At 42.6% G+C, this 21574-nt stretch overlaps 1 long non-coding RNA gene across 3 annotated transcripts, besides 1 other annotated feature; it reads right to left on the bottom strand.

Annotated features, from left to right (window-relative positions):
* Positions 1 to 258: 258 nt before the first annotated feature.
* Positions 259 to 17679, bottom strand: LOC107987323 (uncharacterized). 3 transcript variants are annotated; one of them, XR_001755415.2, is made up of 4 exons: positions 17504 to 17679; positions 16904 to 17122; positions 15424 to 15482; positions 259 to 375 (listed from the first exon to the last, which is right to left on the bottom strand). It is a non-coding gene; the product is annotated as an uncharacterized LOC107987323 (long non-coding RNA). The 3 variants fall into 3 exon arrangements; XR_001755413.2 differs by lacking the exon at positions 16904 to 17122; XR_002958735.2 differs by lacking the exon at positions 259 to 375 and having other exon boundaries at positions 15370 to 15482.
* Positions 17544 to 17702: a silencer, noted in NCBI's record as "fragment chr1:142618781-142618939 (GRCh37/hg19 assembly coordinates)". NCBI's record gives its function as "represses an EF-1alpha promoter that drives an FKBP-Casp9 reporter gene in an ReSE screen in phorbol 12-myristate 13-acetate-treated (for megakaryocytic differentiation) K562 erythroleukemia cells {active_cell/tissue: K562(+PMA)}" and the evidence as "EXISTENCE:reporter gene assay evidence [ECO:0000049][PMID:32094911]".

Here is a 21574-nt window from a genome sequence, read left to right as displayed (position 1 = left end):
AACTCTGTCTCAAAAGAAAAAAGAATAAAAATAAAAGAACAAGGAAACAAAAGTAACAAAGCTTGACACCAGATGAGCCTGAATCTAACCAAGAAAAGCCCAGAAGAAATCCCATTTTGGGTCACTGGCTGCATGGTAGTAATACCATATACATAAGGGAAGAGAGGAGGATGTGGCTTTCACTTTGAAATTTTTGAGCTTAAGGTAACTTTTGTGTAGCTACAAAGAAGCATTCAACAGAGAGTTAAACTTATGATGGAAAGACTGAAGGGGTCCAAGCTGTAGAGAAACAGGACTGCAAACCACAAAGGGCTGAATCAGTCAAGGAGAACTGCAGGGCGGGATGAACAGGGACCAACGGAACATTTGGATAAGCTGTTGAGAAGAAAGGAGAATTCAGAGAAAAAGAACTGTCAGTGAGGTCATAATAGGAACTGTTACAGTGAACTAAATATGGCCTGGGAAGGACTCTGTACTTCTAGATTTGAGTCCCTGTGGACAAACTGCAACCTCACTTAATAGGTAGAAAGACTGAAAACCTAACTTAGGAGTATGCGCCTGTAACTATAGCTGAGTCCTGACCAATCCCAACAGCCAAACTTCTGCCACTCACACACTGCTGAGTGTTCAGCTGTGTTCAAATAAGGCAAATGCTGAGCACTGTAACCAGTCCAGTTGTTTCTGGACCTCACTGCTGAGAACTGTAACAGGCTCAGGTGCTTCTGGACCTCACTCCTCACTTCAGACTTCTGTACATCACGTTCCCTTTATTGTCTATAAATCTTCCACCATGTAGCTGTGCTGGAGTCTCACCGAATCTGCTGTGATTCTGGGGGCTGCCTGATTCGTGAATCATTCATTGCTCAATTAAGTTCCTTTAAATTTAATTCAGCTGAAGATTTTCTTTTAATAGATGGTATCAGAAGTGGGATCTGTGGTAGCAGGACTGCTAGGGCCTCCGGAGTTATAGTGTGGTGAGCAGTGTTGCTAGGGCTTCTAATGACCCCCAGGAGTGCTGAGGTACAAGAAAGGCACCTGCAAGGACTGCTCTGTGATGGCAGCAGTGGCCCACGTGGAGAAGTTGCTACGGAGACACTGGCTGCTGTGGGGAGGAGTGGCTGGGGCTGTGCGCTCCTCGAAGCTGGTGGGAGCCAGGAACGGGGGGGAGCCCCACCCCTTCTAAATTGGTAGGCAGGAGCCCCGCCCTCCCAGGCACAGCTGCAGCCATCCAGCCATGACTGCAAACCCGGGCATCTTTGCACTCTCAGAGGCCCAGCAAGCCCCCCTGCCCCCGCAGGCTCAGTTGTACCTGGTCCCACCACCTGGCGTCTCCACTCCCAGAGCCCACTCCAACTTCAGATCCAAGTTGAGGCTGAACCCGGGTACAGTCGCAACCCAGCCCAGTTTGTGCAAGCTCAGGGCAGTGCTGACATGCCAGCCCCCTGCCACCTCAGCCCCCTCCAGACTTTGGGCACTGACGAGCACAGGAGGGAGGTTGAGGTGGGGCTAAGAGTGGCTCAGCACTGGCCTGAAGGCACTCCTCAGCTCGAACAGCCTGGGCATCGTGTGCACAGCTAACCACCGTGCGTCTCTCTCAGCTGCTGAGAGCTGAACAGATGTTGGGATGACCTGCCTGCAGAAAGGAGCTACCCACTGCAGGTCTCCTCTGAGCTGTACTGTTGCTCAATAAAGCACCTCTTCACCTTGCTCACCTTCTACTTGCCCACATACCTCATTCTTCCTGGACTCAGGACAAGAACTCGGGACCTGCCAACTAGCAGGGCTGAAAGAGTTGCAACATAAACAGGGCTGAAACGCACCCCTTGCTTGCCAAATTGCAGGCAAGAAGAAGAGAAGAGAGAAGGAGAGAAGAGCTGTGGCCCTTCAGGGAGCCCAGACCTAGGAGCTCCCCAAGCCAGGGCTGTGACACCTTCTTTGGGGCTCTGCAGTTCCTACATCTCTAAGCTTCTGGGCACCACTGCATTCCCTGATACCCACAGTGGAAGCTGTTTGCAGTCGGCCTGGTCCAGCTGCAGCCTCACAGGGAGCTGGCACCTGTGCCGGTGCCTGGAGCTGCCCACACCACTGCAGCTGGCATGCTTGGCTGTGTGCAGTGGCCAGATCCCATGCTCGCTTGCTCACACACCCTTCACTGCTCTGTACCCAGCTCACCCTTGGCAGGTGTGGGATCCAGACCACTAGCATGAGCCGAGTGGACAGAACGAACCCAGTGGGCTCGAGCAAAACACAGGTAAATGTGCCACCAGACAGAGGTTTCAGGCAGAAAATTGATGCCTCAGGATTCTGTAACACTTGTGCCCTTTGACCTCTCAGAGCAGCTGGGGATCGTGGTAAATTCTCTCTCGGATTTCAGAGCTCCATGGATTTGTGTTTTGAGCTCTGAGTTTCTTTGAGCAAATTTCTGTTCCAAACTGCTATCCAGCCATGACTGGCTGGATGTTTTAGAAGTTATGACAGAAACGGGACCGGGTCCAGGATCAGATTTGATCCAGTAGTTAACTGGCTTGAATCCAGTTCCAGTTAGAGGCCTCCTACATCTGAATGGGTCAGAAGGAAAGTGGTAGCAAATGATAACATTGGAGGGTTGTAAAATTTGGCTTTTCAAAATTCACAGGGATTTTTGTGTTCTACCCCTTTGTTTCATTTTCCTCGCATACTTAGGTAGGAAAAAAAAATCATTGGCTAAGTCAATCAAGGGAACCTGGGAGTAAAGCCAATATATTAGGTAAAAATAGGATCCTTAATTTCTGGAAAACTAAGTTCCTTCTGGCTAATTCATTAGGCCTGGGAAGCAGCAAAGTCTTACAGAAATGGCAAAATCTTACTAAAGATAACTTACAGTGGAACATTCCAAATGAATAATGCCCTGAAGTGCATTTAAAAATGAGGGCTCCCCAATTAGTCTCACTTAGGGATGCCTATTAATATGCAGAAGCTTCTAAAAAGATTTAGAGATGGCACGGCCTATCTGGGAGCAAGTTTGAGTCTTACCAGTTTGACACTGTGTGCTATGCAAAGTGGCTCGTGTCTATGTTTTGTCACATGTATTTTGCTCTGAGCAGAATGAAAAATATTAATTTGGTTACTCCAAGCAACCCCTTGGGCAGCATCTTGCAAAGCTGAGTGGATTCTTCCTGTGGCACCATGATTTCCATTGTGATGCAGCTTGGCCCCCAGAGCTATAATGTGGTGAGGAGGGTGACAGAGCAAGACGCTATCTTTAAAAAAAACATGGCCAGGGGCAGTGGCTCACGCCTGTAATCCCAACACTTGGGGAGGCTGAGACAGGTGGATCACCTGAGGTCAGGAGTTCAGGGCCAGCCAGACCAACAAGGAAAAACCCTGTCTCTACTAAAAACACAAAATTAGCTGGGCATGGTGGGGCATGCCTCTAATCCCAGCTACTCAGGAGGCTGGGGCGGGAGAATCGCTTGAACCTGGGAGGCAGCGGATTGCAGTAAACCGAGATCGCACCATTGCACTCCAGCCTGGGCAACGAGAGGGAAAATCCATCTCAAAAAAAAAAAGAATAATAGATTTGCCTATAAGGTTTTATGAAAAAGTGGGTGACATTTGGCTTTCTCTCTTTAAAGAAGATTTTCAGAAAATATTAAAAAATAATGGGAGGAGGAGCCAAGATGGCCGAATAGGAACAGCTCTACTCTACAGCTCCCAGCATGAACGACGCAGAAGATGGGTGATTTCTGCATTCCAATTTGAGGTACTGGGTTCATCTCACTAGGGAGTGCCAGACAGTGGGTGCAGGACAGTGGGTGAAGTGCACTGTGCACTAGCCGAAGCAGGGCAAGGCATTGCCTCACTCGGGAAGCACAAGAGGTCAGGGAGTTAGTTCCCTTTCCTGGTCAAGGAAAGGGGTGAGAGATGGCACCTGGAAAATTGGGCCACTCCCACCCTAATACTGTGCTTTTCTGATGGGCTTAGGAAACGGCGCACCAGGAGATTACATCCTGCACCTGGCTCGGAGGGTCCTACGCCCATGGGATCTTGCTAATTGCTAACACAGCAGTCTGAGATCAAACTGCAAGGCAGCAGCGAGGCTGGGGGAAGGGCACCGGCCATTGCCCAGGCTCTCTTAGGTAAACAAAGCAGCCAGGAAGCTCAAACTGGGTGGAGCCCACCACAGCTCAAGGAGGCCTGCCTGCCTCTGCAGGCTTCACCTCTGGGGGCAGGGCACAGACAAACAAAAAGACAGCAGTAACCTCTGCAGACTTAAATGTCCCTGTCTGACAGCTTTGAGGAGAGCAGTGGATCTCTCAGCACGCAGCTGGAGATCTGAGAATGGGCAGACTGCCTCCTCAAGTGGGTCCCAGACCCCTGACCCCTGAGCAGCCTAACTGGGAGGAACCCCCCAGTAGGGGCAGACTGACACCTCACACGACCGGGTACTCCTCTGAGACAAAACTTCCAGAGGAACGATCAGACAGCAGCATTCGCAGATCACGAAAATCCATGGTTTTGCAGACACCACTGCTGATCCCCAGGCAAACAGAGTCTGGAATGGGTCTCTAGCAAACTCCAACAGACCTTAAGCTGAGGGTACTGTCTGTTAGAAGGAAAACTAACAAACAGAAAGGACATCCACACCAAAAACCCATCTGTACATCACCATCATCAAAGGCCAAAAGTAGATAAAACCACAAAGATGGGGCGAAAACAGAGCAGAAAAACTGGAAACTCTAAAAAGCAGAAAACCTCTCCTCCTCCAAAGGAATGCAGTTCCTCACCAGCAATGGAACAAAGCTGGACAGAGAATGACTTTAATGAGCTGAGAGAAGAAGGCTTCCGACGATCAAACTACTCCGAGCTACAGGGAAAAATTCAAACCAAAGGCAAAGAAGTTGAAAACTTTGAAAAAACTTTAGACGAATGTATAACTAGAATAACCAATATAGAGAAGTGCTTAAAGGAGCTGATGGAGCTGAAAGCCAAGGCTCGAGAACTACATGAAGAATGCAGAAGCCTCAGGAGCTGATGCGATCAACTGGAAGAAAGGGTATCAGTGATGGAAGATGAAATGAATGAAATGAAGTGAGAAGGGAAGTTTAGAGAAAAAAGAATAAAAAGAAATGAACAAAGCCTCCAAGAAATATGTGACTATGTGAAAAGACCAAATCTATGTCACATTCATGTACCTGAAAGTGACAGGGAGAATGGAACCAAGTTGGAAAACACTCTGCAGGATATTATCCAAGAGAACTTTCCCAATCTAGCAAAGCAGGGCAACATTCAGATTCAGGAAATACAGAGAATGCCACAAAGATACTCCTCGAGAACAGCAACTCCAAGACACATCATTGTCAGATTCACCAAAGTTGAAATGAAGGAAAAAATGTTAAGGGCAGCCAGAGAGAAAGTTCGGGTTACCCACAAAGGGAAGCCCATCAGACTAACTGCTGATCTCTCGGCAGAAACTCTACAAGCCAGAAGAGAGTGGGGGCCAATATTCAACATTTTTAAAGAAAAGAATTTTCAACCCAGAATTTCATATCCAGCCAAACTAAGCTTCATAAGTGAAGGAGAAATAAAATCCTTTACAGACAAGCAAATGCTGAGAGATTTTGTCATCACCAGGCCTGCCCTAAAAGAGCTCCTGAAGGAAGGACTAAACATGCAAAGGCACAATCGGTACAAACCACTGCAAAAACATGACAAATTGTAAAGACCATCAAGACTAGGAAGAAATTGCATCAACTAACGAGCAAAATAACCAGCTAACATCATAATGACAGGATCAAATTCACACATAACAATATTAACTTTAAATGTAAATGGACTAAATGCTCCAATTAAAAGACACACACTGGCTAATTGGATAAAGAGTCAAGACCCATCAGTGTGCTGTATTCAGGAAACCCATGTCACGTGCAGAGACACACATAGGCTCAAAATAAAAGGATGGAGAAAGACCTACCAAGCAAATGGAAAACAAAAAAAAGGCAGGGGTTGCAATCCTAGACTCTGATGAAACAGACTTTAAACCAACAAACATCAAAAGAGACAAAGAAGACCATTACATAATGGTAAAGGGATCAATTCAACAAGAAGAGCTAACTATCCTAAATATATATGCACCCAATACAGGAGCACCCAGATTCATAAAGCCAGTCCTGAGTGACCTACAAAGAGACTTAGACTCCCACACAATAATAATGGGAGACTTTAACACCCCACTGCCAACATTAGACAGATCAATGAGACAGAAAGTTCACAAGGATACCAAGGAATTGAACTCAGCTCTGCACCAAGCGGACCTAATAGACATCTACAGAACTCTCCACCCCAAATCAACAGAATATACCTTTTTTTCAGCACAACACCACACCTATTCCAAAATTGACCACATACTTGGAAGTAAAGGCCTCTTCAGCAAAAGTAAAAGAACAGAAATTATAACAAACTGTCTCTCAGACCACAGTGAAATCAAACTAGAACTCGGGATTAAGAAACTCACTCAAAACTGCTCAACTACATGGAAACTGAACAACCTGCTCCTGAATGACTACTGGGTACATAACGAAATGAAGGCAGAAATAAAGATGTTATTTGAAACCAACGAGAACAAAGACACAACATACCAGAATCTCTGGGACACATTCAAAGCAGTGTGTAGAGGGAAATTTATAGCACTAAATGCCCACAAGGGAAAGCAGGAAAGATCCAAAATTGACACCCTAACATCACAATTAAAACAACTAGAAAAGCAAGAGCAAACACGTTCAAAAGCTAACAGAGGCAAGAAATAACTAAAATCAGAGAAGAACTGAAGGAAATAGCAACAAAAAAACCCTTCAAAAAATTAATGAATCCAGGAGGTGGTTTTTTGAAATGATCAACAAAATTGATAGACTGCTAACAGGACTAATAAAGAAAAAAAGAGAGAAGAATCAAATAGACACAATAAAAAATGATAAAGGGGATATCACCACTGATCCCTCAGAAATACAAACTACCATCAGAGAATACTACAAACACCTCTACGCAAATAAACTAGAAAATCTAGAATAAATGGATAAATTCCTTGACACATACACTCTCCCAAGACTAAACCAGGAAGAAGTTGAATCTCTGAATAGACCAATAACAGGAGCTGAAATGGTGGCAATAATCAATAGCCTACCAACCAAAAAAACTCCTGGACCAGATGGATTCACAACCAAATTCTACCAGAGGTACAAGGAGGAACTGGTACTATTCCTTCTGAAACTATTCCAATCAATAGAAGAAGAAGGAATCCTCCCTAACTCATTTTATGAGGCCAGCATCATCCTGATACCAAAGCCGGGAAGAGACACAACCAAAAAAGAGAATTTTAGATGAATATCCTTCATGAACATTGATGCAAAAATCCTCAATAAAATACTGGCAAACCGAATCCAGCAGCACATCAAAAAGCTTATCCACCATGATCAAGTGGGTTTCATCCCTGGGATGCAAGGCTGGTTCAATATACACAAATCAATAAATGTAATCCAGCATATAAACAGAACCAAAGACAAAAACCATATGATTATCTCAATAGATGCAGAAAAGGCCTTTGACAAAATTCAACAACGCTTCATGCTAAAAACTCTCAATAAATTAAGTATTGATGGGACGTATCTCAAAATAATAAGAGCTATCTTTGACAAACCCACAGCCAATATCATACTGAATGGGCAGAAACTGGAAACATTCCCTTTGAAAACGGGCACAAGATAGGGATGCCATCTCTCACCACTCCTATTCAACATAGTGTTGGAAGTTCTGGCCAGGGCAATCAGGCAGGAGAAGGAAATAAAGGGTATTCAATTAGGAAAAGAGGAAGTCAGATTGTCCCTGTTTGCAGACGACATGATTGTATATCTAGAAAACCCCATTGTCTCAGCCCAAAATCTCCTTAAGCTAAGTAACCTCAGCAAAGTCTCAGGATGCAAAATCAATGTACAAAAATCACAAGCATTCTTATACACCAATAACAGACAAACAGAGAACCAAATCATGAGTGAACTCACATTCGCAATAGCTTCAAAGAGAATAAAATACTTAGGAATCCAATTTACAAGGGACGTGAAGGACCTCTTCAAGGAGAACTACAAACCACTGCTCAATGAAATAAAAGAGGATACAAACAAATGGAAGAACATTCCATGCTCATGGATAGGAAGAATCAATATCATGAAAATGGCCATACTGCCCAAGGTAATTTATAGATTCAATGCCATCCCCATCAAACTACCAATGACTTTCTTCACAGAATTGGAAAAAACTACTTTAAAGTTCATATGGAACCAAAAAAGAGCCTGCATCACCAAGTCAATCCTAAGCCAAAAGAACAAAGCTGGAGGCATCACGCTACCTGACTTCCAACTATATTACAAGGCTACAGTAACCAAAACAGCATGGTACTTGTACCAAAACAGAGATATAGACCAATGGAACAGAACAGAGCCCTCCGAAATAATGCCACATATCTACAACTATCTGATCTTTGACAAACCTGACAAAAAGAAGCAGTGGATTCCCTATTTAATAAATGGTGCTGGGAAAACTGGCTAGCCATATGTAGAAAGCTGAAACTGGATCCCTTCCTTACACCTTATACAAAAATTAATTCAAGATGGATTAAAGACTTAAATGTTAGACTTAAAACCATAAAAACCCTAGAAGAAAACCTAGGCATTACCATTCAGGACATAGGCATGGGCAAGGACTTCATGTCTAAAACACCAGAAGCAATGGCAACAAAAGCCAAAATTGACAAATGGGATCTAATTAAACTAAAGAGCTTCTGCATAGCAAAAGAAACTGTCATCAGAGTGAACAGGCAACCTACAAAATGGGAAAAAATTTTCGCAACCTACTCATCTGACAACGGGATAATATCCAGAATCTACAACGAACTTAAACAAATTTACAAGAAAAAAACAAACAACCCCATCAAAAAGTGGGCAATGGATATGAACAGACACTTCTCAAAAGAAGACATTTATGCAGCCAAAGGACACATGAAAAAATGCTCATCATCACTGGCCATCAGAGAAATGTACATCAAAACCACAATGAGATACCGTCTCACACCAGTTAGAATGGCAATCATTAAAAAGTCAGGAAACAACAGGTGCTGGAGAGGATGTGGAGAAATAGGAACACTGTTGGTGGGACTGTAAACTAGTTCAACGATAGTGGAAGTCAGTGTGGCGATTCCTCAAGTATCTGGAACTACAAATACCATTTGACCCAGCCATCCCATTAGTGGGTATATAACCAAAGGACTATAAATCATGCTGCTATAAACACACATGCACACGTATGTTTATTGTGGCACTATTCACAATAGCAAAGACTTGGAACCAACCCAAATGTCCAACAACGTTAGACTGGATTGAGAAATTGTGGCACATATACACCATGGAATACTATGCAGCCATAAAAAATGATGAGTTCATGTCCTTTGTAGGGACATGGATGAAATTGGAAATCATCATTCTCAGTAAACTATCACAAGGACAAAAAACCAAACACTGCATGTTCTCACTCATAGATGGGAATTGAACAATGAGAACACATGGACACAGGAAGGGTGACATCACACTCTGGGGACTGTTGTGAGGTGGGGGAAGGGGGGAGGGATACCATTAGAAGATGTAACTAATGCTAAATGACAAGTTAATGGGTGCAGCACACCAGACTGGCACATGTATACATATGTAACTAACCGGCACATTGTGCACATAAACCCTAAAGCTTAAAGTATAATAATAATAATAATAATAATAATAATAATAATAATAAAATAAAATAAAAAAATGAAAAATTTGTTTGCCTTGTAAATAAACTACCAAAAAAAAAAAAAAGGAAAAACAAGAGGCAGATCGTTTGTGAAGATAAGTCTTCCCCCTATCAATGAGTAAAGATTTTTGCCCTTTAAAAATTTTTTAAGTCATGATTTTAGGTAAATGAATGACTTATGGTGACGTGGAATTCTATTTCATAACATCAAGTGTTTAAACCTTTAATATATTTAATAGGCTTCCCAAAATCAAATTTCAACTTCAAAATTGTCTTTTCTGACCTCTAACTTTGGGACACTACAGAGGCCCCTGAAGCACCCAAAAGAGAGGTAAACAGGACTATTTAACATGTTAAGTCACATGGGTAGCACTGTCAAAATAAAAAATAATGTTGAACCTTCTTCAGGTTATATTTAGTGTATGTCATCAATCCATTCTAAAATTGTATAGGATTTCTAAAATTCTTGATTTTTTTTTTTTTTTTTTTTTTCTGAGATGGAGTCTTGCTCTGTCACCCAGGCTGGAGTACAGTGGTGCAATCTTGGCTCACTGCAACCTCCACCTCCCAGGTTCATGCCATTCTCCTGCCTCAGCCTCCCAAGTAGCTGGGACTACAGGCACCTACCACCATGCCAGGCTAATTTTTGTATTTTTAGTAAAGACGGATTTCACTGTGTTAGCCAGGATGATCTCCATCTCCTGACCTCGTGATCCTTCCACCTCGGCCTCCCATAGTGCTGGGATTACAGGCATGAGCCACCACATCCACCCTAATTATGGTTATTAAGTTATTGTAGACCACAAAAATAACCAAATTTCCTTGTCAATTTTCTTTAACTATAACTGTTTAAAGTCATTTCCACAGTTAATTGCTTAATGGTGATGCAGTTTCTAAAAACTTCACAAGCATGCAAAATTCTAGAATATGGTGTCTCTTAGAAGATTCATGAAAGAATGAAAAGGACCCTAAAAAACACTTGTGAACACAGATTTCTAATAACTTTAATATCATGGGTAAAAATTCCCCATAAGTTCCAAGATACCCCAAGAATTGGACTGGTTAAGAATTCTCAAATGTTAGGCTGGGTGCAGCAGCTCACGTCGGCAATCCCAGCACTTTGGGAGGCCAAGGCCAGTGGATCACTTGAGGTCAGGAGTTTGAGACCAGCCTGGCCAACGGTGAAAGCCCACCTCTACTAAAAATACAAAAATTAGCCAGGTGTGGTGGTATGTGCCTGTAATCCCAGCTACTCTGGAGGCTGAGGCAAGAGAATTGCTTGAACCCAGGAGGTGGAGGTTGCAGTGAGCCAAGATTGTGCCACTGCACTCCAACCTAGGTAACACAGTGAGACTCTGTCTCAAAAAAAAAAAAAAAAATCCCAAAAGTTTAATAAAAAGACCAACTGGTTTATAAAACTTCTAACCCAAGTAAAACAAAAATTGTATACCAAGGAAATATTTTGCCACATTTGCATGCTAAATCACCAATATTGAAATTGTTTAGATATATAATTTAAATAAACTCCATGGTCTAAGTCAAATTACCTATAACTACTCATCAGTTACCAGTGCCATGCACCTAATTTGGAGAAACAGCTGGTATTCAAGAGGATGTAAGTCTAATGTTAATTAAGCACAGACTTATGAAGAACCAGGATGGCCACCTTATCCTTCTTAAGTCCTTAAAACTTTTGTTATTAAAAGTTCTGCATTCCATAACTCATCATGGAAAGAGAAAATGATCCAAATTAAATATATTGGTGTGGTGATTTCTAAACTGCTAAAATAGTTTATAACCAATGTTTGGTTTGTCAAACCTATATTCCTAGGAAAACAATCAAAACTTCAGGTACATTTGGTTACCTGATGGGCCATTTAAACATTTTATAAAGGGATTTCATTCAGTTGTCATTTTCAGTGCATGCTTTCTGATTGTATAAAAGCTCTTCCATGCGAGAGAGTTGATGTTAAAACAGTACATTATTACCCTGAAGTGTATTTTCACCAGGTAAAGAAAGCCTTTTATGGTTCACTGGGGACAGTCAACCCCTTCACAATCTAGAATCTGATGACTGGATCTTCTGAGAACATCAGAGAAGGACTGCCCTTGCCATCCACATGACAGCAAAACTTTAAAAACTTAAACTTTGGGTTCATAGTTTCACAACTCAGAAGGGTCCCTCCACACTTGGAACCATATACCTATTGGAACCCTTAAGGTAAAGCTAACAAGGACAGTTCCCCCCAGAAGAAGATGGCATCCTTAATGTGAACAGCTTCTCCCAAGATCACAGATCAAGACTTCTCTACTATCATGAGACTCTTATCTTAAGTATCTGTGCAGCTGCTAACACTTACAGCATGTGGAGAAAACATGGGGTATTATAAAGATTTGGTTGTAGGGAATTAACAAAAAACCCACTTAGTTAAGCAAGTAAACTCTTTATCTAATTCATTCTTTAATCTATTTTATTTTAGGTGGTTTGATTTATGGGGACCCTGAGTAAGGAGCATATACCAAATTCTTGGTATTATCCCAGTAGTCATAAGAGTCTCCCTGGTGCACTGTACTTACTCAGATGTTTTAAGAGTTTGCATGCAGGCATCTCTAAAATGTCAAATGTTATCTCTTCAACTGGAATGACAAGAGATTTAAAAAAAATGTGCAACCATAAGGACACTGTAACCTATGAGTGACCTGCGAAACCAGAGACCCAAAACAATGGGAGTGATGTGCTTAAACTGGAACCCAAAACAATGGGAGTGACATGCTAAACCAGAAACCCAAAACAATGAGAGTGACTCGCTAAAACTGGAACCCAAAACAATGGGAGTGACGTGCTAAACCAAAAACCCCAAACAATGGGAGTGACGTGCTAAAACCAGAACCCAAAACATGGGAGTGATGTGCTAAAACCGGAACCCAAAACAATGGGAGTGACGTGCTAAACCAGAAACACAAAACAGTGGGAATGATGTGCTAAAACCGGAACCCAAAACAATGGTAACTAAGAGTGATGCTAAGGCCCTATATTTTGGTCACACTCTCAACTAAGTGAGAACTTGACTGAAAAGGAGGATTTTTTTTTTCTAAGACAGAGTCTTGGTGTGTCCCACAGAGTGGAGTGCAGTGTCACGATCTCAGCTCACTGTAAGCTCCGCCTCCCGGGTTCAGGCCATTCTCCTGCCTCAGCCTCCTGAGTAGCTGGGAATACAGGCACCCGCCACCACGCTTGGCTATTTTTTTGTATTTTTAGTAGAGACAGGGTTTCACCATATTAGCAAGGATGGTCTCAATCTCCTGACCTCGTGATCTGCCCACCTCAGCCTCCCAAAGTGCTAGGATTACAAGTGTGAGCCACCGCGCCCAGCCAAAAGGAGGAATTTTTTAAGCAAAACTATGGGAGGCCATTGTTTTGAACTAAGCTCATGCAATAGGTCCCAACAGACCAAACCAAACCAAAATGGAGTCACTCATGCTAAATGTAACATAATCAAACTAAGACTTTAAGGAAACATATAAATCCTAGAACAAACCAGGTTTTGTTTTTCTCCTATAAACAGGATGTTCCAGCATAAGAAGATACCTTCTACTCAAGTCCTTGTTCCACCTTTTCAAATCTCACTGGTCTATTTCCCAGTGGGTTTCTAAACCAAGTAAGTACATTTGCAATGGTAATAGTGACACCAGTGACTGAAGTTTTGGCCAATCTCTCAAAATTGAGAAAATAACCAAAGGGAAGGCATTGTTAAAGTGAACTAAGTATGGCCTGAGAAGGACTCCATAATTCTATATATGAGTCCTTGTGGATGAACTGCAACCTACCTTAATAGGTATACAAGAATGAAAAAATAACTTGAGAGTATGCACCTGGAACAACAGCTACATCTTGGCCAATCCCAATGGCCAAACTTCAACAACTCAGGCACTGCCAAATGTTCAAACTGTGTTCAAACAAGGCAAACGCTGAGTTGTTTCTGTACCTCACTTCCGATTTCGGTATGCCATTTCCCTTTTGTCTATAAATCTTCTTCCACCACATGACTGCGCTGGAGTCTCTGTGAATCTGCTGTGATTCTGGGGACTGTCCGATTTGTGAATCATTTATTGCTCAATTAAACTCCTTTAAAGTTTTTCTTTTAACAGAACTAACACAGAAGAATTTCCAGATCATGAACAGATGTTTTGTAATACCCAACGTTGTATTAACATGAATAGATTGTTCCTTAGATAGCTAACCTTGTTTTTAATATGAATAGACTCTCCCTTAGCTGAGAAAACCAGACAAATTCCATTTGGCTCCTTCATTTACAAAACATCAAGGGCTTCTTACCCACCCCCTTTCCTCAAGGACTTTAACTTGTGCAAGCTGATTTTCAACATATCAAAGAGTGCAATTAACTGATAAAGTGCTGAGACAAGAGATGTCCGCAGTTCCCAGCAAATTACTCAGAGATAGTATCATAAAGCCCCCACATTTGTCCGGCAGATAATGCCCAGAGCCCCCTCACCTATCACTTTTTGGTGAATTTAAAGCCCCTGCACCTGGAACAGTTTGTTTTCCTGTAACCATCTGTCTTTTTAACTTTTTTGTCTGTTTATTTCTTCTGTAAAGTTGCTGCAGCTAGAATCCCCCCTCCCCTCTCTAAACCAAAGTATAAAAGAAAATCTAGTCCCTTCTTTGGGGCCGAGAGAATTTCGTGCGTTAGCCGTCTCTCAGTCACCGGCTAATAAAGGACTCCTGAATTCGTCTCAAAGTGTGGCGTTTCTCTCTCACTCAGGTACGACAGTTTCAACTATGCTAGAAGACTCGAGTAAGGCAAATACAGTCCCCCTAAATTTGACTATTATTTAGGTTAATGGTGAGTTTAGAAGAAATAAGTTAAGACTACACAGAGTGGGCTAAAGTGCAAATAAACACTGGAAATATTTCCCGGAAAATATGACTTTGAACAGGCTGCTGCACACCCTGCATGTAGAGACAAACTAAGAAAAAGTGTGGAGAGTTATTTAAGGACCTATGGTTAACTCAGTCCTCAAGATGTTCCGGGTTTCATCCATGAATCAAGGAGGACCTCCCAAAAGCTGTTTGGGACCACACTCTTTGAGCAAGGAGCATATCTTACGATGGAAGCTGTGCTTTAGCGGCAGATGACCATTTCCGCTGCACAACACACTGTGCTTTAGCGGAAGATGACCGTTTCCACTGTACAACACTACAAGTGGTTACTGCCAGGCCGGTGTGAAATATGTTCCAGCACATAATATATGTCACCAATGAAGGTGGTGGTTCAGACTTGGTGCACGCAAGCTTTCCTGTCCCACAAGAACACAGCATGTTCTCTTCTCGGGTTCCACTCCAATCACGTAACAAATATGACTGCCTTTTTTGTCTCGGCATCAGAAAGATCAGAGGAAAATTTGCACCCAACTTAGACAACTCTAAGCTCTTATAACCTGCCTATATCTACAGGTCAGCTTTATCTTATTTATGTATATTTCCTTCAACCTGAGTTTTACTTATTTCTACTTTTCCTTTTTAATTCACAGACACCCAAAAACTCAGAAAATACAGTGTAAAACAAAGTGAAGAACAAATAAACAACTCACCAGAGATTTATTCGTTTCCTGTTGCTCTTGGAAACACCCAGAGGACACTGGAAACATAGCTGGGATAGAAGGCAAATGACGTGGATTAAGGAGAGAACTGGTGTGGTGTAGTCCCAGATTCTTCTGCCCAACACTCTAGACACATTACCTGGGAAAGCCCTCCTCCCTCCTGAAAAAGAAAAACTTCCCCATGGGAGAAGAGTCCTTCACGCCTCATTAGGGGCATCAAAGACTCAAGTTAAGATAAGATACATCTACAAGTACATTAATTGGTAGACATTAGATGCACAATTTATTTTTGAATAAAAATATGTATTACCTATTAATTTAGTAACAATATGATCTAAAGATATAATCTAATAATTTAATGCAAAGAAACATTATAAGTTCACTAAAATAAATGTTATAGAAATATACTAGGCTGTATTAACTATTTTCCTATTTATATGTAGATTCCACAAATAACTTCATATGAGTGTTCCCATGACAGTACATCTTGCTTTTCTCTACCTGAACATCATGGAAAGTGCATCTTGCAAACCAGCAATTTTGGCCTACAATTACATTTTTTAAAATGTACATAATATGTATTTCCTACAGTACACCATTGTACTCATGTTTCCCAATAACAGCTTTCCTTCTATGCAAGCCCTCATATTATGCTCTGATAATAAATTGGGCTTTTCCATCTGACTTGTCCAGTGAATGGACAATGGAAAATGTGATGCAAATATCCATTGGTTCTTGCCATTTTGGACACAGTCAAATTGTGAAGAGGTCTGGAGCAACCCTGTTGGAGACACAGGGCCTAGCCAAGAGTCACCACAAACCACCAGATTGTGAAGGAAACTATCTTAAACCAACCAGGCTCAGTCAAGGCACCAGGTGACTAAGGACTTTTTGTGATCCAGGCAACACAAATATATCAACTACCCAGCTGAACCCACCACACCAAAATGCAGATCCACAGAACTTCAAACAAATAAAATGGTGTTTGTTTTTTATAAGCCAGTAAGGTTTAATTAATTCCTTAAACAGCAAGTATTAACTGTTACACCTAAGTGAACAGAATTCACTTCTGTGTTTTTAACAAAATTACGTAGGGGGAGAAAATCTTAAATTACAAATCAAATACAATCAATAGAACTTCGCAATCTAATGCTAAATTTGGGGATGGACTAGGTTTAATATATCTCAGACGCTGGGAAAAACGAGCTAAGGTTGAAGGAATGGGACTGTGTTTGGAGAGTATTTTAATCTTCTCAAGTATGACAGGTCACTCCTGTACCCCAGACCACACTTTCAGGCCCCTTCAAATAAGGAATATTTCCTAGGTCCTTGCCTGTTCTTCTCAGCTGAATTCACCTCAACCTTCTGAAAGTTCGTCCAAACCTTCTACTATCACCTAGTCTTTGCAAATCTTGTGCATTCTAGGGAGTAGAATTAATATTTCCTGAGCGAGGAAAACTGGGATCCTCACCTGTGACCTGTTTTCCTCCTCTGAAGCACCAGTGAGAGGTTAGACCAGACAGCTGTTCTTTCAAGTGCGCTTCTTATTCATAGGGAACCCTCTCTTTCAAACTTTGTAACACACAGTTAAGACTGAAGTACCCTTAAGGCTGAAGACCATCATCCATTATGCCTTCTCCCTCGCGGAATCAGTGAGTTCTTCCTTGGAAACTAGGTCTCGTATAAACTTCTGTAAATGCAACCCAGGAGGACTAGGCAGATCACACAGTGAAGGAGGGAACCAGAAACTTCACTTGCTAAAGAGACACCAGGAAACCCAACTAATACAAACGCCAAGTTTAAGACTAGAGGCGCACGCATTTCGCACTACTCCTCTGGGAATGGGGAACGTCTCCCGAAAACTGTGTGTTAGCACTGGGACAGATGGGCAAACTGAGCGTCATGCAGGTTGGTAACCGGGTCCCTCAGCGGCAGGACAGGAGCGCGGCCTGCAGACTCCGGGCCCAGGGCCACCGGCCTCGCCTACCCGCTCCTGCGCCTCTAGAACCCGCTTCACTGCCGGGACCCCACGCCTGTCCTCCCAGCCCCCGCCAGGGTCCGCTGCCCGCACCTGCACTTCAGGCCCTGCCCGCCCGCGATGCGCCCACGCGTCTGCTCCCACAACTAGGGGACACTGGTCCGGCCCCCCGGGATCCCCCGAGGCCCACGGGTTCCTCTTCGCCCTCGCACCGACCCGCAGGGACATAGAACCAAGCCCCAAGCCGGCCCCGCTACAAGACCGCCTCTGGGTGACGCACTTCCGGATGAAAATGGCGGAGTGGGCCGGGCGGCGCATGCGCAGAGAGAAAAGCTGGTTCCCAAAGTCCTTGATGGTAACATCATTGGAAAGTGACACTACATTTCCCATGAGGCTCTGTGGTGCCCGGTTAGGAACCCACGCCGGACATTCTGTTTAGTCCAGCAGTTGAGTCCAGTTACCCAGAGACACGGACTTAATGAATCAGGACTGGTCCCTACCCAGGTGATACAGATATGGCATTCTGGTTCTTTATTAAATCCTGATTTCACAGCCTGGGACATTGTGAAAATAATGGAGAAATTTCAATAGAGGCCAATTGGTCTATGCTGTTAATGAGTAACTTTTTTTTTTTTTTTTTTTTTGAGACGGAGTCTCACTCTGTCGCCCAGGCTGGAGTGCAATGGTGCGATCTCGGCTCACTGCAACCTCCGCTTCCCGGGTTCAAGCGATTCTCCTGCCTCAGCCTCCTGAGTAGCTGGGATTACAGGCGCGCCACCACGCTTGACTAATTTTTGTATTTTTAGTAGAGACGGGTTTTCGCTATGTTGGTCAGGCTGGTCTCCAACTCCTGACCTCGTGATCCGCCCTCCTCGGCCTCCCAAAGTGCTGGAATTACAGGCGTGAGCCACTGCGCCCAGCCCTCAAGTCTATTTTTTATAGATGCATTCGAAAGTGTGAAAAAAATCATGTCTGTATTTTACTTTAAAATTTTAAAAACACAACTAATGAATATGGTAATTCTCTTCCAATCCGTTATCTTTTCTCTCACTTAACTAATTTGTGAGCCTTCAATTTACACATTTAGAAAATATTTTCTAGTGTTAACAGCGTCATAAGACAGGTGCACTCCATAATCTTTGTGACAACTTACACTTCCAGTGTCTGATAAATATTTGCCCGTAAACTCCCACGTTTCATCCATCCATCAATCAATCAAATCTCCCTATCTTTATTTATTTATTGTGAGAAAGACCTGAAATTTGTCTTTCCTTCCCTGATTTCTGCCACAAACTAGGCAAGGCATTCTGCCTAGGGTTTTCTCAGAACCCCGGCTACCACCGAGGTTCCTAACAGGGAAACGCAGGCTTGAATGCTCAGGGTTGATGTGAGAGTGAGTGTGAAACGGGGGTGGGGTGAAAGGGCAGTGAACTTTGTAGGTGGGTAGATGGGGGTGTGAAGGGCTTTCAGGTAAGAGGCACGCATGAAACTGGGAGAGACAGCGAAAGCACCTCAGGCCTCAGATCACCAGAAGATGCTCCCACCAGTGCCATGACAGTTTGCCAATGCCATGGCAGCACGGGAAGTCCCCAACCCTTGCCATGGAAACAGCTGGAAGTTACTGCCCATTTCTAGCTATTTCTGAATAACCCTCCCCTTAATTAGCATGCCATTAAAAGTGAAATATAAAAATGACTGCAAGCCACCCCTAGGCTGCTACTCTGGGAGCACAACCCACGGAGGGCTCCCTGTCCTGCAGGAGCAGAAGCAGGGCTGTAACACCGCCAGTGCCCCTGTAGAGCTGCTTTCTTCCACCACAGGCTTGCTTTTGGATTCCTTCCTGAGCGATGCCAAGAACCTGCCCTTCCTCAGTGTGACTCTTGCCTAAAACCTATCCCTGGTATTCTCTTTTCCTAAGCATGACCTGACTTGTTCTTTCCTCTCCTCTGATCTTGCAATTGGTCCTCAGTGACTCTATTCCGCAGATCCAGAAAACTCAACCTTAATCTTCCCAGAGCCCTGTTTTCTCCAATATTGGAAACTCTAGCCTTGTTTTCTCAGAAGCCTAGATTACAGGCCTCTCTCTTGAACACCTATTGGTAAGGTATCTGGGGATCCTTTGAATACACGATGACTGGCAGGGGTTACATAGGGGAAATCAGTGCCTGACAATTCGCCTTCCAGGATATGGATTGTCATTCTCTCTCTTTGTGGTCCTCAGTCTCTTATACATAAAAGTAGAGATTGTAATACTCATTTGACTTGCAGATACCTCACCCTGAACCCACCTAATATTATGTAAAAGCCAAGAATGCAACCCCTTTCTTCACCCCATGAAGGTAAAGTCCTCAGAGCCAAGGAGAGAAGGCTCAGGGATGGTACCTGGGTGTTTCCAACACTAACCATGTTTTTAGTGTTCAAGTTTAAGCTTCTTATGTTAAAGTTACCCCAGCTTTAATTCTATTGTAACAAGATTTATTTTTGTAATTCCATTTTTGGATTCTTGATTTCTTGGTAAAGAAATACAGTTATTTTTGTATACCAATCTTACATAGTGTTACATTCCTAAATTTGTTAATGAGTCCTACCACTTTTTAGTAAATTTCTTATGATTTTCTAAATGCAAGATCATGTCATCTGTACATAAAGATAACTGTACTTCTTCCTTTTTAATCTAGATGCCGTTTATTTATTTACATTGCCAAGTTGTCCCAGCTACCAGTTATCAAGTAAAAGGGTCTCACTGCCCAGAGCACTAGAAGCCGGTACCACGACACTGAGTTTTTGAGAAAAGAAAAACTTTAAAGTCAAACCAAACCCTATGGGATACAGGCCGGGCGAAGTGGCTCATACCTGTAATCCCAGCACTTTGGGAGGCCGAGTCGGGCGGATCACGAGGTCAGGAAATCGAGACCATCCTGGCTAACACGGTGAAACCCTGTCTCTACTAAAAATACAAAAAACAAAAATTAGCCTGGCATGGTGGTGGGCACCTGTAGTCCCAGCTACTCGGGAGGCTCAGGTGGGAGAATGACATGAACCCAGAAGGCAGAGCTTGTAGTAAGCCAAGATTGAGCCACTGCACTCCAGCCTGGGCAACAGAGAGAGATTCTGTCTCAAAAAAAAAAAAAAGACAAAAACAAAAAAACAAAATCAAACCATGGGATACAGCAAAAACAGTACTAATGAGTAAGTTTATAGCAAAAAGCATCTACATCAAAAAAAGTAGAAAAACTTCAAATAAACAACCTAATAATGCATCTTAAATAATTAGAAAAGCAAGAGCAAACCAAAACCAAAATTAGTAGAAGGAAACATAGCAAAGATCAGAGCAGAAATAAATGAAATTGAAATTGAAAAATATAAAATATCAATGAAATGAAAAGTTAATATTTTTTAAAAGATCAACAAAATCAACAAACATTTAGCCAGACTAAGAGAAAAGAGAGAAGACTCAAATACATAAAACCAGAGATTAAAAAGGAGACACTACAACTGATACTGCAGAAATTCAAAGAATCATTAGAAACTACTATGACCAACTATATTCCAGTAAATTGAAAAACCTGCAAGTAATGGCCAGGCACCGTGGCCCATGCCTGTAATCCCAACACTTTGAGAGGACAAGGCAGGTGATCATCTGAGGTCAGGAGTTCAAGACCAGCCTGGCCAACATGGTGAAACCCCATCTCTACTAAAAATACAAAAATTAGCCAGGCATGGTGGTGTGCACCTCTACTCCCAGCTACTCCTGAGGCTGAGGCAGGAGAATCACTTGAACATGGGAGGCAGAAGTTGCAGTGAGCTGAGATTGTATCAAGCTCCATCCTGGGTGACAGAGAAAGACTCCATCTCAAAAAAAAAAAACAAAACAAAACAAAAACAAAAACAAAAAAACCCACAAAAAACCAAAAACAACCAAAAAACAAACCTAGAAGAAATGGATAAATGAGATTGAACCCATAATAAAACAACTCCTAGCAAAGAAAAGCCTGGATCCAATGGCTTCACTGATTAATTTTACCAAACATCGAAGGAAGAATTACTATCAATCCTACCCAAACTATTCCAAAAAACAAAGAAGGCTGTAGTATTTCCATACTCTTTCTATGAAAAAGACCATTCATCATGTCTAAGTGGGATTTACCTCAAGAATGCCAACAT

Source organism: Homo sapiens, chromosome 22 (genome assembly GCF_000001405.40).
Source record: "Homo sapiens chromosome 22, GRCh38.p14 Primary Assembly".
Classification (NCBI taxonomy): domain Eukaryota; kingdom Metazoa; phylum Chordata; class Mammalia; order Primates; family Hominidae; genus Homo; species Homo sapiens.
The sequence above is the reverse complement of the archived record's forward strand: the minus strand, read 5'-3'. Positions and strand labels throughout refer to the sequence as shown.